General features: G+C 52.6%; 1 long non-coding RNA gene across 1 annotated transcript in view, besides 1 other annotated feature; it reads left to right on the top strand.

Moving 5' to 3' along the window:
• The first annotated feature begins 7,123 nt into the window (after nucleotides 1-7,123).
• The window catches only part of LOC105376815 (uncharacterized), an 83,235-nt gene continuing 73,997 nt past the window's right edge, over nucleotides 7,124-16,361 (top strand). Inside the window, exon 1 of the long non-coding RNA XR_947015.2 lies at nucleotides 7,124-7,674. This is a non-coding gene — a long non-coding RNA (uncharacterized LOC105376815). The remainder of the gene's footprint in view (nucleotides 7,675-16,361) is intronic.
• Nucleotides 13,960-14,934: an enhancer, noted in NCBI's record as "H3K4me1 hESC enhancer chr1:19370112-19371086 (GRCh37/hg19 assembly coordinates)". NCBI's record gives its function as "activates a minimal SCP1, AML or CMV promoter by ChIP-STARR-seq in naive H9 embryonic stem cells {active_cell/tissue: H9 hESC(naive)}" and the evidence as "EXISTENCE:reporter gene assay evidence [ECO:0000049][PMID:30033119]".

Here is a 16,361-nt window from a genome sequence, read left to right as displayed (position 1 = left end):
GGTGTGAGGTCGAGCAGCATGGAGTCACTGGGGTGTCACAAGCGTGAGAGGGGCTGTTGGATTTGCCCCTGTGGAGGGAAGTGTGGCCCAAAGGCAGGGGCAGGTACCTGACACCTTGGTGTTCATCAAGGGGCTGCCAGACACACCCAGCTACCTCTTCCCAAGGCAGTGGGCAGGTGTGAAGCCTGCCGGGCTGAGCTGCCTGCTCTGCCACCTCCGGGGTGGGTACCCTCCGCCCGCCCGACTGTCTCCACCAAGACATCTCAATCCAAAACCCCTGCCAACCGGGTGGAGCTGCCAACCGTCATAAAACCTGCTTAAAGAGGTGCTCCTGCCCCTCCCCTCCCCCTCCCCCTCCCCCTTTCCAGCCTCTTTCTCTTCCCCCTCCCCCTTCCCTCAGGTCTCCAGACAGGCCTGGGGAGGGTGGGATAGCCGTGAGCCCCTGACAAAGCTCCTGCCTTTCTCTGAGCAGGGGCGGCCTGGCCCCCTGCCCCGCGGCTGTGACACGCTGCCCCATCACCTCGGCAGAGCTGGTCTCTGGGCCAGGAGGCCATGGCATCATCTCCTCTTGGGTAAGCTCTGTTTGCCAGGGCACCCCACCCCAGGTAGAGACTGGCACATGTCTGGACACCTGAGCCCAGGCAGGCGGGGGTGGGGGCACAGGGAGGCAGCCCCGCAGCCTGAGGTCCCTGTCTCTTGGGGATTTTCCCAGCCTGCCCTGGGGTGGGCCATGGTCCTTCCCATGGCCTGGTCTCCATGAGGCAGGAATCCTCATCTTGTGACCCTGGATCCGAAGTTCAGAGTCAAAGACGGCTGAGTTTCAGGAGACAGGGGAAGCAGAGAATTCACTGTGTTGGTGTTCCTAAGTGGCAGGGTGGGGTCAGAGGGCTGGGCTGGTGCCCCCAAAAGGCAGTGAGATCACTGGCCTGTGAGGAAGCAGCGCCACCTACCCTGGCCTTTCTGTTCCTCCAACAGCCAAGCCTGCACCACCCCAGGGCCTCTGCTCAGGCTGTCCCTCTGCCTCGCATGGTCATAGACTCCTTCAAGTCACCCAGGTCTCTGTTCATGTCTGCTGGGCGAGGTGACATGTCGCCCAAGGGGCCTTTCCCAGGCATCCGTCCAATATCGCCCCTTCCCTCTCTATCCTAGGGTCTTGTTTCATTGTCTCTGTAGCACTCATCAGTCTCCGAAAGGACCGTGCTTATCTACTTGCTCACGTGTTGACAGCTTGACAGCTGGCCTCCCCCTGGTCATCGCTTGGTCACAACCCTCTCCAGTTTGAGTATAACGATCTCTTTCTCTCTCTCTCTTTTTTTTTTTTTGGAGACAGAGTCTCGCTCTCTCACCCAGGCTGGAGTGCAGTGGCTCAATCTTGGCTCACTGCAACCTCTGCCTCCCGGGTTCAAGCGATTCTCCTGCCTCAGCCCCCCTAGTAGCTGGGATTACAGGCACGTACCACCATGCCCAGCTAATTTTTGTATTTTTAGTAGAGATGGGGTTTCCTCATGTTGGCCAGGCTGGTCTCGAACTCCTGACCTCCGGTGATCCACCCGCCTTGGCCTCCCAAAGTGCTGGGATTACAGGCATGAGCCACTGCGCCCGGCCTCTCTCTCTTTTTGAGACAGGGTTTTGCTCTGTTGCCCGTAGGCTGGAGTGCAGTGGCATGATCAAGGCTCACTGCAGCCTCAACCTCCTGGGCTCAAGAGATCCTCCCGTCCCAGCCTCCCAAGTAGCTGAGACTACAGGCATGCGCCACCACACCTGGCTAATTTTTAAATTTTTTGTGGAGATGGGGTTACTATGTTGCCTAGGCGGGTCTCGAACTCCTGGGTTCAAGTAATCTTCCTGCCTCAGCCTTCCAGAGTGTACGCATGCACCACCAAGCCCAGCCTCTTTCTCTCTTTTTAATTTACCATTAAAAATCGTACATATTGATGGTGCGCAGCATGATATTTTGATTACATTGTGGAATGGTTCAATCAAGCTAATTATGCATTATCTCACAGGCTTATTTTTTTTTTTCTGGTTGAAAACACTTAAAATCTAATCTCTTAGAAATGTTCTTTCTTTTCTTTTTTTTTTTTTGTTTGGATGGCGGGGGAGAGGGTCTTGCTCTGTTGCCCAGGCTGGAGGGCAGTGGCACCATCACAGCTCACTATAGACTCAAGTGATCCTCCTGCCTCAGCCTCCTGAGTAGCTGGGACCGCAGGCACGTGCCACCATACACGGCTAACTTTTTTGATGTTTTTGTAGAGATGAGCTCTCACTTTGTTGCCCAGGCTGGTCTCAAACTCCTGGGTGCAAGCAATCCTCCTGCCTCAGCCTCCCGAGTGTCTTTTAGTAATTTTCAAGAAGACAATACATTGCTATTCACCAGAGTCACCATGTGATACGTGAGATCTTTTGACCTGGTTCCTCCTGTCTAACTGAAATTTTGTGTCCTTTGACCAACATCTCCCCAGCCCTCCACCCCCAGCCCATGACGACTACCGTTCTGCTCACTGCTTCTGTGAGTGCGACTTTTGTAGATTCTACATATAAGTGAGATCATGTGGTATTTGTCTCTCTGTGTCTGGCTTATTTTGCTTAACATAATGTCCTTCAGGTTCAGCCACGCTGTGGCTAATGACAGGATTTCCTTCTTTTTTTGAGGCTGAATAGTCTCCTGTTGTGAATGTGGCCCACATTTTCTTTATCCATTCTTTCATCTGCGGACACAGATTGATGCCGTCTCTCAGCTGTTGTGAACAGTGCTCATGAACATGGGGTGCAGCTGTCTCTTTGATACATCGATTTCATATCCTTTGGATATATACCCAGCAGTGGGATTGCTGGATCTTATGGTAGTTCTAATTGTGGCTTTTTGAGGAGTAATTATCCTTTAAGTATCAGATCCTGGTGACCTGAGATCCCCAAGGATAGAACAAAAAACTGTTTTCCTTGTAGCCCTGGTATTGAAGTAGATATAACCTTGAGGATTTTTCTCTCGGCAGCCTCACGGTTCGTTATATCTTTGACCTTTTGAGGACATGCACTTTAGGGAAACCGAGGCAGGTATCAACTCATTTCTGTCCCCAGCCCCATCTCCTGGTCCTGGGCTTATCCCTACCTGTTCACAATACCTTCCCAATGATCCTGGGCGGGGACCACATGACTGTCATGTCTGAAGATGCCCCAGTGCCCGACTAGTACCCTGTGGACAGCAGGTCTGCGCCGTCTGGTTGTTGAAAGAGGTTAGTGGAAGGGAGGAGGGAACGGCAGCGCTGAGGGGCTCCTGGGCTCCTCTCAATTTTCACATCCTGTTATTTCCTTAAACGGAAGCCCCTCCCAAGCCTCACCCCCGGAGCTGCTCAAGGTCCAGCCCTGGGGACATTGTCTCACTCGCTCCCCCAAGAGGGGCCACAGAGGTGCTTTTGCAGAATTCCCAGGCTCCCTGGAGAACAACATAGAAACCACTGATCCGAAACAACAGACGCCTTTTGCAGGTGGGGAAGCTGAGGCCCCAACATGGGGAGTAACGAGGGGAGCATGGTGAGCAGGTGTTGAGCTGGCCAGCGCCCCCAGGGACCTCTCCACAAGCCCCTCACCCTTCCAGGTGGTTCTCTGCCCCTTGGCTCACGTGTGCCCACCCTCCAGCAGAAGGCGCTTTGTGCATTGCCCCGCCTTTACCATGGCCACAGAGGGCTCTCAAAGCCAAGGTCCTGTCCCCAGTCGCCTCTCAGCTGCCCATGACTTGTCCTCTGTCCTGGGGGAGAGGGGCTGCGAACCTCAAGAATGCACTGGGGAGGGTGGGGGACCCTATAGTTTTCTGGGGTGGGCAGAGGCTTCAGAAACACCCAGCAGTCCCTCCTCATGGGCACTGGTCTGCTGCCTTGGGAGGCACCACATACCTGGCAGAGCCAAGACTCAGTTCCCCTTCTGTGGAATCTGGGGGGCACAAAGGCTGTTCCCACTGTGGGGAGTGGCGTCCCTGGCGGGGCCGGGTAAGGAGTTCTGTGCTGAGCTCAGCTCGGCTGACTCACTGCAGGTGCCTCTCCCCTGGACCAGTGGAGTTGCTCCAGCTGCAGAGCCCAGCTTCCCTGGGGCTCCCACGAGGCAGTGCTGTGTGGCTCAGGGGCCCGGTCCACGTGGTACACGTGTGGGGCTAATGAGGGTGCCTGCCTTCCTTCCCGGCCAGCCCCGCCTGCCATGAGTCCTGAGAAGAGCTGCAAATGCTGGGCTTGGGGAGCCGCCCTTACCCTCGGGCGGGCCCTGGCACCAGTTCCTGCTGACCTTGGGGGTCTTGTCCTATGCTGGGGCTGGGTGTCTCTCGTGAGACTCGGATGGGCTGAGCCCACCTGTTTGAGAGAGGATGTCTGACCTGGGTGCTAATGGGACACTGGGACAGTGAAACAAATGAGTTAACCCCCCACAACGCAGACTCACCCCCTAGTTTGCTGGTCCCAGTTAAAGGGGAGGGTGGCCGGGCTTCTAGGAGGAGAGGGTGTGGGCACCAAACTGCCCCCCGCAGGATGTCTGCTTCAGACTGTGAGTGCTGAAGGGCAGGGAAGGAACCACCTGGTCCCACATGGTCCAGAGCCACACACCTGAGCGTCCTTAGGAGAGGTTCAGGGGAGATAGGAGCCTTTCAGAGCTAAGCCATCCCCCAAAGAGGGAAGCAGAGGGTGCGGGGTGGCAGAAGGGGTGTGTGAAGGGTGGAGCCTGGCTCGGTCTGTCTTGGATGAGCTTTCAGCTCTGACTCCAGGGGCTGTATGATATGGACTTGGATGAAGTCTCTTCCCCACTGTGAGCCTCTGTTTCACTGACTGTAAAGTGTGTTTACTCATCTGGCCCTGGGAGGACTGTTGTGAGGACCCAGCACCTCTACCAAGGGCTTTGCAAACTGTAGAGCGCTGTGAACATGACAAGCTGTTTTTATCACCTGCCATAGGCGGGTGGATCCCTCCCAATTCCTGAGTTCCCCATCAGGGAGGCACGAGGGCCCTGCTGAGGCCAGGAGCCGGCAGGAGGGCTGGGGGCTGGTCTGCAGCCCTGCGGAAGGAAGATCTAGAGGCGGGGGTGCCTTCCTTCACCCTCAAGGGGAATCAGTCCAGGCTGAGGCTGAGAACTCCCTTGATTCCCTTGATGTTCCTGCTGGGAAAAAATCACTTGGCAGACAAAATGGGCTCATTCTCAGTTTTAGAGAACATGGCGATCAAGAGCTTAGGGCAGCCGGGCTCAGTGGCTCATACCCGTAATCTCAGCACTTTGGGAGGCTGAGGCGGGTGGACCATTTGAGGTCAGGAGTTCGAGACCAGCCTGGCCAACACAGCGAAACCCATCTCTACTAAAAATACAAAAAATTAGCTGGGCATGATGATGTGTGCCTATAATCCCAGCTACTCAGGAGGCTGAGGCAGGAGAATCGCTTAAATTGCGGAGGTTGCAGTGAGCTGAGATTACACCACTGCACTCCAGCATGGGCAACAGAGTGAGACTCCATAAAAAAAAAAAAAAAAAAAAGCTCAGGGTGTGGAGCAGACACACCTGGGTTTGCATCTTAGCTTTGCCATTTGGTAGCTCTGGCGAGGATCATGTCTGAGTGGGGACAGTGGCTGGTCGGGGGGTCAGGGCCTGAGCTGGGGAGAAGGTCACCCATGGAGGGGTTAGAAAGGTGTCCACATAGGTGGGGGAGTGGCCCACAGAGGATGCCTGAGCTCTGGCAACGAATGGAAGGTGACCCGGTGGGGAGGAGGTCTGGCGTGGAGGGCCAAGCCCGAGTTGAGGGTGTCCCTGCACGTGTGTGTGTGTATGGAGAAGGGGCTATTGAGGGAATTGGTAAATTAAATACGTGAAGCATAAAGGAAGCTGGAATGTCACATCAGAGCCGCTGGAATGTCACATCAGAGCCGCTGGAATGTCACATCAGAGCCGCTGGAATGTCACATTGGAGCTGCTGGAATGTCACATCAGAGCTGCTGGAATGTCACATCAGAGCCGGAGTTACACATATGGAGAGGGAGAAAACGCAAAGGAGCCCCGTGCTGTTGGACTGGAATTTGAAATATCAGTGTGAACTCAGGGTTTTCTTTTTCTTTCTTTCTTTTTTTTTTTTTTTGAGATGGAATCTCACTCTGTCACCCAGGCTGGAGTGCAATGGCGCAATCTCGGCTCTCTGCAACCTCTGCCTCCTGGGTTCCAGCGATTCTCCTACCTCAGCCTCCTGAGTAGCTGGGACTACAGGCGCACGCCACCACGCCTGGCTAATTTTTGTATTTTTAGTAGAGACGGGGTTTCACCATGTTGGTCGGGTTGGTCTTGAGCTCCTGACCTTGTGATCCGCTCACCTTGGCCACCCAAAGTGCTGGGATTACAGGCATGAGCCACCGCACCTGGCCAGGGTTTTCAATATAAGAGAGCAATAAATACAAACATATACACATGCAAATGTGTATATTAGATATTTACTATACATATACACATATGTGAGTGTGTGTGGACATATGTACAGTCTATATGTACAGTTGACCCTTGAATGATGTGGGGGTTAGGGGTCCCCATGGCCTTGTCTACTGAGAGGGACTGGAAGCAGCAACTCCCCAGTAGCAGTGAGCACACCTGGCACCCAGATGTTGGCCTCTGTATACCGTTCCCCACTAAAGAATCAGGCTTCCTTGGAGCCATGGCTGATTCTAGGGCTGGGGCAGGGAAGGGGCAGAATGAGCCTGGAATATCTTTTTGTGCCAGAAATTCAGGACATGGTCAAAGAATGATGGAGATAAGTCAAAATGCCCCTGGAGCTACTTGAAAGGGCAACCACTGGCCAAATCTGGGTCGATCTGAGCATTAAAATAAACAATGGGCCGGGCACAGTGGCTCACGCCTGTAATCCCAACAGTTTGGGAGGCTGAGGCGGGCAGATCACAAGGTCAAGAGATCGAGACCATCCTGGCCAACATGATGAAACCCCATCTCTACTAAAAATGCGAAAAAAAAAAAAATTAGCTGGGTGTGGTGGTGTGTGCCTGTAGTCCTAGCTACTCGGGAGGTTGAGGCAGGAGAACCACTTGAACCCGGGAGGTGGAAGTTGCAGTGAGCCAAGATCACGCCACTGCACTCCAGCCTGGGGACAGAACGAGACTCCGTCTCAAAAAAACAAAAAGCAAAACAAAAAAACCAGTGATAGTCATGGATGATAACCTGTTGAATTCCCTAAGAAAACACAGGTCCGTATTGCGACAAATAAATAAGTGAATAAACTGGAAGTTGATGAGAAAAGGGATATTGACATAGTCTCAGAGTATCTTCTCACAAAATACTTATTAATTACAAAGAGAGAAGGAATAACTTTGCAGTGGAGAAACTTGGCAGACACCACCTTAAGTGATCAAATTTAACATCACCTTTATTGAAACTGATCCAAAGCGCCCCATAACTGCCACTTAGGATAGTCCTGCCACAAACGCATGACCTGAATCTAACCACGAGGAAACACCAGCCAAACCCCAATTTGATGAAGTAAGTGATCTGTAATCTTCAAAATGTCAAGGCCGTGAAGGAAGTACTGAGTAACTGTTCCAGACCGAAGGAGACCTGACAATTTCATGCAACGCAGGAGACTGAACCGGGTCCTTTTGCTACCGAGGCATTGTTGAGATAGTTGGCAAAACTGGCGCCAGGTCTGTGGAGTGGAAGGTAGGAATGGATCAGTGCTAGCTCCCTGATTTGATGGTTTTACTGCGGTTGTGTAGGGAAAGGCTTTTGTTGGTAGAAAATAGGTCGGCAATTTACAGTTCAATGGTTGCAGAGAAACAATTCTGGCCGGTCGCGGTGGCTTATGTCTGTGATCCCAGCACTTTGGGAGGCCGAGGCAGGCAGATCACAAGGTCAGGAGATCGAGACCAGCCTGGCCAACATAGTGAAACCCCGTCTCTACTAAAAATACAAAAAATTAGCTGGGTGTGGTGGCAGGCGCCTGTAATCCCAGCTACTCGGGAGGCTGAGGCAGGAGATTTGCTTGAATCCGGGAGGCGGAGGTTGCAGTGAGCTGAGATTGCACCATTGCACTCCAGCCTGGGCAACAGTGTGAGACTCCATCTCAAAAACAAACAAACAAACCAAAAACAATTCTTAGTATTATACATGCAAATTTTCTATAAGTTTGCCACTGTTTCTAAGCTTAAAAAACTATTAGTATAGGCCCTGGGCACAGTGGCACACACCTGTAATCCCAGCATTTTAGGAGGCTGAGGTGGGAGGATCACCTGAGTCCAGGAGTTCAAAACCAGCCTGGGAAGCATAGTGAGACTTGTCTCTACAAAAAATAAAAAGACAAAAACTAGCTGGGTGTGGTGGTGTGTGCCCATAGTCCTAGTTATTTGGGAGGCTGAGGTGGGAGGATTGCTTGAGCTCGGGAGGTGGAGGCTGCAGTGAGCCAAGATCACACCACTGCACTCTAGCCTGGGCAACAGAGTGAGATACTGCCTCAAAAAAGGAGAAATTATTAGCACAAAAACAAATAACAACCAAAGAATTCCAAAAATGAGAGTGTCTGAGGGCAGCGCTTAGGCTAGTTCCGACGTAGTATGTGCTCATCTAATGTCCATAATTAAGTGCATGACTGCAGAGCTTCCTGCGTCTGCTGGACTTGCTGTTTCTTTCTGCTGACCTGTAACTTCTCTCCCTGCTCTGAAGTAACCTCCTCCAGGAGGTCCTCCATAGAAGTGTCATGTGCATTGGTGACTCTGGTCACCCATCACCTTCCAGGGTCTCACCTCCAGCTTTGTTTTAATTCATAATTGCTTGCAGCACAGGAAGTGAAGTTTGGACTGGATGTCGCGCTGTTCCCATCCCAGCTCTCATCCTGCTCGAACCTTCCAGCATCCTCTAATCTGGGCATCCACCCCCTTCCTCAGAACAGGCTCCTTCTCAGAAATCACTGCCCAAGGTCAAGTCCATTCTTGTTACTTCTGTCCCAGATTTGCAACAAATCTGGTTCATTGGATCCATTCCCCTGCTTCTTGGCAGGGCTGTTCTTAAATCGGCTTGGTGAAAGAGGGTCTTATCTCTTTCCAGTATTTCCAGGAAACACAGTTTCAAAAGCATGTGTCCCATTGCCACGCAATCTTCGAAGGCTGGGCTGCCTCAAGAAGCCGTGCGTTCTGTCACTCATGCGCTGGCTCTTGCACTTGTCCACAATTATTCATTGATGGGAGCCATGTTCCCCTGCCAGTGACAGTTGCAGTAGTCAGTACTTGGAGGGCATTTGCCCTGTGCCAAGCCCTGAGCTGGGTGCGTCACCTGTATTAGCTCATTTCATGCTCAAACCACGTGAGGAGGTAGCTATGGTTGCACCTGCATTTTACGGATGAGAAAACAGCGGTGCAGGGGGATCAAGCCCCTTGCCCAGGGCGCTTTCTCCGTGGTGGGGTTTTAGGCACTGTGCTGCCAGCTTTGTTTACATTTCGCTCGGTTATTCTCACAATAACCACTCGAGGTCCTTAAAATTCTTCTTAAAAAAAAAGTTTTTTTTTAGAGACAGGGTTTTGCTCTGTTGCCCAGGCTGGAGTACAGTGGTACAATCATGATTCACTGCAACCTCCGCCTTCCGGTTCAAGCAATCCTCCGGTCTCGGTCTCCTGAAGCACTGGGATTACAGATGTGAGCCACTGCACCTGGCCTATTCTCATTTTTTTTTTTCTTTTTTTCTTCGAGACAGAGTTTCGCTCTTGCTACCCAGGCTGGAGTGCCGTGGCACGATCTCAGCTCACTGCAACCTCTGCCTCCCAGGTTCAAACGATTCTCCTGCCTCAGCCTCCCAAGTAGCTGGGATTACAGGCACATGCCACCAAGCCCAGCTAATTTTTGTGTTATTAGTAGAGATGGGGTTTCACCATGTTGGCCAGGCTGGTCTTGAACTCCCGACCTCATGATCCTCCTGCCTCGGCCGCTCAAAGTGCTGGAATTATAGCTGTGAGCCACTGCGCCCGGCCTCTCCTCATTTTTTAAGGGAGTTTGAGGCTTATACAATTTGGTGGTGGTGGGGTGCTCTTTAAGAAAAAGAATAAAAAGATAATCTTACTTTCATTTTCTTTCTTTTCCCCTTCCTTCTTTCCTTCCTTCCTTCCTAGCTTCCTTCCTTCCTTCCTTCCTTCCTTCCTTCCTTCCTTCCTTCCTTCCTTCCTTTTTCTTTCCTTTTGTTTTTGAGATAAGGTCTCGCTCTGTCACACAGGCTGCAGTGCAGTGGCACAATCTCGGCTTACTGCAACCTCTACCTCCTGGCCTCAAGCAATCCTCCTGCCTCAGCCTCCTGAGTAGCTGGGATTACAGGCATGTGTCACCACACTCAGCTAATTTTTGTATTTTTAGTAGAGGTGGGATTTCGCCATGTTGGTCTCAAACTCCTTGACTCAGCCTCCCAAAGTGCTGGGACTACAGGCGTGAGCTGCCATGTGCCTAGGCTAAGATATCTTACTTTCACAAATTGTACACAAATCTCCAAGCAAGTGAGCCCATTGCTAGGGCTCCTCCCAGGGCCTTGCAGAGACTGTGAAGTTTGAGGTCTCTCAGCTTCCTGGGAAACCCACCTATGTTTAGAAAGGTGCACTAACTTGACCTGGGTCTCTCAGCTCATGAGAAGACCTGACCTCTGTTCCTGGGTGAGGCTTCTGTCATCTCCACCCTTCTCCCCTAAACAGGTTCATTTTCTGAATCTTGCCACATTGTCGGGGTGAGCTGGGCTAGGTGTGGAAGGTCTCTGTCTGGCTTTGGGGTGGGGATGGGATCAGAAACCCTAGGCCTAGGCTGGGCTTCACAATCCCCTTGGGGGCTTGTCAAGAATGCCTATCCCTGGAGACTCAGCCCCTCAGATATAGACTTAGTGGTTCTGGGGCAGGGCCTGGGAATCTGTATTTGTAATAGGCCTCCAGGAGAGGCAGCTGCAGTCACGCTTTTGGGACCCACTGCTCCAGGGACACCCCTCCTGCCCCAGTAAACTCTGTGTCTGGCCCCCTTCCAGGCTGGGCCTGGCGCTATGGGCAGAAGTTAGCGGTGACATGCTGCAGGCTGAGTGGGCCTCACTGCGGAGGCATGCAATTAGCAGCACCCAGAACAATGCCTTGGTTTCCATCATTAGCCCCCAAGCCTGGCTGGTAATTTGTTGCTTCTTTCATTGCAGTAACAAGCTCTGGCTTGGGAACGAGGAAAAGAGCTTTTCCCTTCCCCCAGGCATTCCCAAACACCTGCTTGGGGTAGAGTGGGGGCACCGTGGGAGCACAGGAGAGACACCTAATGCTTTCAGGTGCAATCCAGGAAGACTTCTTGTGGGAGGAGGCTGCCAGCAGGACCCAGAAAGGGACTGGCATTTGGCCAGGTGCCAGGGATATCACAGTAGATGGGGTAGACCCTATCCACGCCCTTGGGGCTTGCAGTCTGTTGGAGACCAATCAGTAGAGAAGCCACCGTATCCCAAGAGACAAATGTGGTCATGGATTGGAGAGACTCCCACTCAGCTGGATGTGGGCAGGGTCAGGGCAGGCTTCCTGGGCGAGGAGGCGATATCTCTGTTGAGCCCTGAAGGGTGAGTAGAGGTGGGCCAGGTGAAGCGGGTGGAGGTGGGATGTGTGCACAAGTTTTCTGGTCAGAAGGAACAGCATGTGCAAAACCCAGGGAGGCTGGAGATGTGAACAGGGCCTCATCAGCTGTGTCGAGTGATGGCTTGGACCCCTTTTGAAGAGTGACATGTGGTAGGTAGATTATATTTCCCAAATGTGGCTGCAACCCTGGCTACTGTTCCACTTGCTCTTCTTGCAAAATGGCCTTGACACTCCGCCCATCCAGCACTGGGGTCTGTCCCCTTCCCTTGAGCCTGGGTGGAGCTTTGTGTATAATGGATACTTTGTGTGTACGGTGGCGCTTTTTGTGTGATGCTCTGTGACCTCCAAGCTTAGGTCACACAAATACCTTTCTGTCTTGCTGTCTTGGGATAGTCACTCTTTGGACCCGGCCACCATGCAGTGAGGAATCCCAAACTAATCCATCCATGCAGAGAGGCCACAGGTGAGACTGTATCTAGGTGTCCAACCAACAGCCCTGCTGTGGTCCCGACTATGCCATCATCGACAGCCAGATGGGAAGAGGACTCTTCCAGTTAACCCCAGCTCCTACCCATCTAATCTTCCCAGGACATCATGGAGCAGAGTCATCTGAATTCCCGACCCACAGACTGAGCGTCAGGTGGTTGTTTTAAGTCACTAAGTTTTGGAAGGGGTTGTTAGCCAGCAGTGGTAACTGGAACAGGTGGTGAGCCGCCCGAGGACTTCTGCAGGGACAGCACGCTGGAGGGGTGTTTTGGAAAGCTTACAGTCTGCAGCATGGAGAGTGGATTGGAGGGGCTGAGATTGCAGGCAGGGGGCCCATTACATAAATCAACTTGAAATCCCAGCACCTCAGAGCCAAACGGAAGCTCTTAGGCTGTTTGTCCAACCCTCAGCAGTGTGGAAATTCCCGCCACATTGTTCCAAATGACCTTCAGCCCCTGCCTGGGCACTTCCAGTAATAGATGGCTCATTCCACACCACCAGGCTGCCCTGGCCCTCGGAGTGCCACGAAGTTCTTTCCTGGGTCGAGTTGAAATCTGCTGCCCAGACACACCCCCGTGTTAGACATTGTTCTGTCCTCTGAATTCTCATGGAATTCTCTTCCATTCCACCCTTGGAAGATTTGATGATGGTGACCAAATAGTGTCGTCTTCTGCAAAATTAATGGCTGCAGTGTGTCAACTGCAGGCTTTGAGTTGCACAGACCCGGGTCCACCTACCACTTCTAGCTGAGTGGCTCGGGCAGGTGCTGTTGCCTCTCTGAGCCTCATGCAGGTCAGGCATAACTCACGTCCCACCTCACGTCACTGTCGTGAGGGTGAGATGAGTCAGTACATGTACGGCCTTTACACCGAGCAGGGGCTCAGTAAGTGTCAGTTCATATAACAGAGCCGCAACCCTGCACGCCTCTCTATTCTCTATTCTATGACTGCATCGCTAGTCTATTATTATTTTGAAATAACTCAGCATTGGCCCAAACCGCTCTGAGGGAGCAGACAGTGACTCAACAGCAAGGGCCAGCCTCAGGGGACACTGGGGGGGCATTGTCCTCTGGAGTCAAAGGCAGCTCTGTTCATGGCTATCACCCTGTCTTCCCCAGCCTGGTTTCTGGCCCGATCACCCACAGCGGTGATGGCTTCGACTGTGCTGCCCCGACTGGCACCACTTCCTCACCACCCTCACCCACACCACTTCAGCTGTGAGGTTGTGGTCGGGGGCGGGGGCTTTCTGAGGAGGCTGAGGGTGCTGAGGGGTGGCGGTGATGGTGGGAGTGGAGTTTATGGATCCCCTTCTCTCCTTGATGACAAGCCCGTCGGGCTGCCACCTTGAGGTCGCATTTCCTTGGATGTTGCCTGGTTGGTTTAACCAGCCGAGATCGGGTGCTGGCAACTGTGCTGGACTCCATGTTGACTCTGGTGACCCATGTCTTCTGGGGACAGAGGGAGCAGCAGAGGCCCTTGGGGTCCCCTGCAGGGAGCAGGGATCAGGACCCTCACCCCCACGTCAACCACGGCGTCTCCACTTGGATTTGATTTCTTTTTTTTTTAAATTATACTTTAAGTTTTAGGGTACACGTGCACAACTTGCAGGTTAGTTACATATGTATACATGTGCCATATTGGTGTGCTGCACCCAGTAACTCGTCATGAGCCTCCCTGTCCCCTCCAGCAGGAGAGAGAAGCTCCTGCTGGCTCCTGGCCCACCCACCTTTCTCACTGAGGCCACTCCTGTCAGCCTACCCCACTGCCCCAGAGCCAGGAGCCCCAGGTACTTCAGACCCTGAACCACCCGCCTCCAGAGCCCTCTGCATCTGAGCTATGAGGAAGATGCCTTCTCAGCCAAATTCCCCTCTCGGCTTCCGGCTGGGGGTGGGACAAGGAAGGCTCCGCAAGGGCTGTCCCCTCCCTGCTATAATATATCTCCAAATGCTATCCCTCCCTACTCATTGGAGCTTTACCATCAGGGTTCTTTACCGAAAATGAAGGTCAGAAGCATTTTCTCTAGTCCACCGAGGCCTGAGAGGAGACTGCCCAGGTCACACAGCCAGACAGACATGGAACCGGAGGCCGATGGGCAGACATCTGCTCACTGCCTGCCCAGAGCCCCTATCTGCCCTTTCCCATCTCCCCTTCCCAAGAAGGCGGTGGGGAACCAGGTACAGCGTGTGATCCAAACAGCCAGTCAGTGTATGCCATGCCTCTGGCCACAGGGTTGGACGTGTGACCAAAGCCAGCCCTGGTCGGAGTGAGTCTCAGGCCTTGGGCTGGCGATGCTAAGGTGAGAGCTTCTCTCTCCTGCTGGAGGGGACAGGGAGGCTCATAGCCCTGGGAGCTGCCTGGGGTCAGAACTCTGCAGCCGGAAGTGGAGCCAACTCTGCAGCAGGCCGGGGAAAAATGGGGGAAAAGGGTGGATTGGGGTGATTTTTATTTTATTTTTAAATTTTATTTATTTATTTTTTTCAGAAAGGGTCTTGCTTTGTCACCCGGGCTGGAGTGCAGTGGTGTGATCACGGCTCACTGTAACCTTGAACTCCTGGGCTCCAGTGATCCTCCCATCTCAGCTTCCTGAGTAGCCGGGACTACAGGCATGAGCCGCAGTGCCTGGCTAATTTTTAAATTTTTTGTCAAGACGGATCTTGCTCTGTTGCCTAGGCTGGTGTTGAACTCCTGGGCTCCAGCGATCCCCCCTCCACCCCCTCCCACCCAGTCTCAGCCTCCTGAGTAGCTGGGATTACAGGTGTGAGCCATCACACCTGGCCCTTGGTGATATTTAGACCAGCTGTGTCCAGTCTCACCTAAAGGCAGAATCACTTCTGGACTTTTCAGCTAAAGAACCCTCTTTATTGTTGAGGCCAGTTTGAGTCTGATTTTGAGTTAGTGGTGGCCGAGCTCCTCCTCCTGCCAAGACCTGGCTACTGCGATGGCCCCCAGGTGAGCCCCTCCCCCAGGTTGCTTTCATCCTCCGCCCTCTAAGATGCTGGCGGTGGGACCTAGATGAGGCACCCCCATCTGGCTCCTGGCCCACCCACCTTTCTCGCCAGGGCCACCCCTGTCAGCCTACCCCACTGCCCCAGAGCCAGGAGCCCCAGGCACTTCAGACCCTGAATCACCCGCCTCCAGAGCCCTCTGCATCTAAGCTATGAGGAAGATGCCTTCTCAGCCAAATTCCCCTCTCGGCTTCCGACTGGGGGCGGGACAAGGAAGGCTCAGCAGGGGCTGTCCCCTCCCCGCTATAACTGTGCTGTGTCCCAGGTGTTTGGAAGTCACCCAGGGGGCTCTTCCCACGTCCTTTCTTGCCCCATTTGAGGGCAGCAGCAACAACAATTTCTTCCCTGCCTGCCTGCCCGACGCCGTGCCATGCACTTTCAGGGCAGCCTTAAACTCAGTCATTAGGGCCACCCCAGGCTGGCAGTGTGGACCTGGGGTTCAGCACAGGGACTCTGGAGCCAGGCAGTTGGGTTCGGATCCCAGCTCTACCACATAATTGCTGCGTGACCTTGGGCAAGTTATTTAACCTCTCTGTGCCTCCATGCTCCTTCCTACAAATTAGGAGGAATGATAGATGCTGAATGAGGAACTAATACGCATAAAAGTGGTAGAACAATGCCCGGCACATAGTAGGTGCTTTGTAATGCTAGCTATTATTATTCCCAATTTACAGATAGAACAACTGAGGCTTGAGAAGATGACTTCCCTAGAGCACACAGCTCAGTAAGCCAGGTCTGAGCAATTCAGAATCAAGGATCCATTTTATTGTCACTTGAAGTAACTCCCCAAACGTGTCACCTGAATGGTTTTCTACAGCTGGGACCAGCCAGGGTCTCAGGGTTTAGCAGGAAACAAATGTGTGGGCAATCGAGCCTGGCCTTTGGAATCCAGCCACAGCATTTTAGAGGAGACCCTAGACATTATCTACATCAGCACTGCCCAATCTGGTAGCCACTAACCACAGATGCTATTGAGCCCTGGGTCTGTAAGTAGCTCAAGTTGAGATGTGCTACGGGTATGAAATACACGCTGGACTTCATACGCAAAAAACAATGTAAAGTCTCATTCATAGATTTTTGTATTGACTACATGTTGAATTGATAATATTTTGGATGGATGGGTTAAATAACACAGTATTTAAATTAACGACACCTGTTTAATTTTACAAGTTTATGTGGCTGCTAGAATATTTATGGTTCACATTATATTTCTACTGGGGAGCGCTGAGCTAGGCCATTGTTCCATTTCACAGATGAGGAAAATGGGGCTCATAGGTGTGGTTTGCTTTGGTTCCAGG

The sequence above is a fragment of the Homo sapiens genome, chromosome 1, assembly GCF_000001405.40.
Source record: "Homo sapiens chromosome 1, GRCh38.p14 Primary Assembly".
Lineage (NCBI taxonomy): Eukaryota > Metazoa > Chordata > Mammalia > Primates > Hominidae > Homo > Homo sapiens.
Note: the sequence above shows the minus strand (reverse complement) of the source record. Positions and strands in the feature narration are given on the sequence as shown.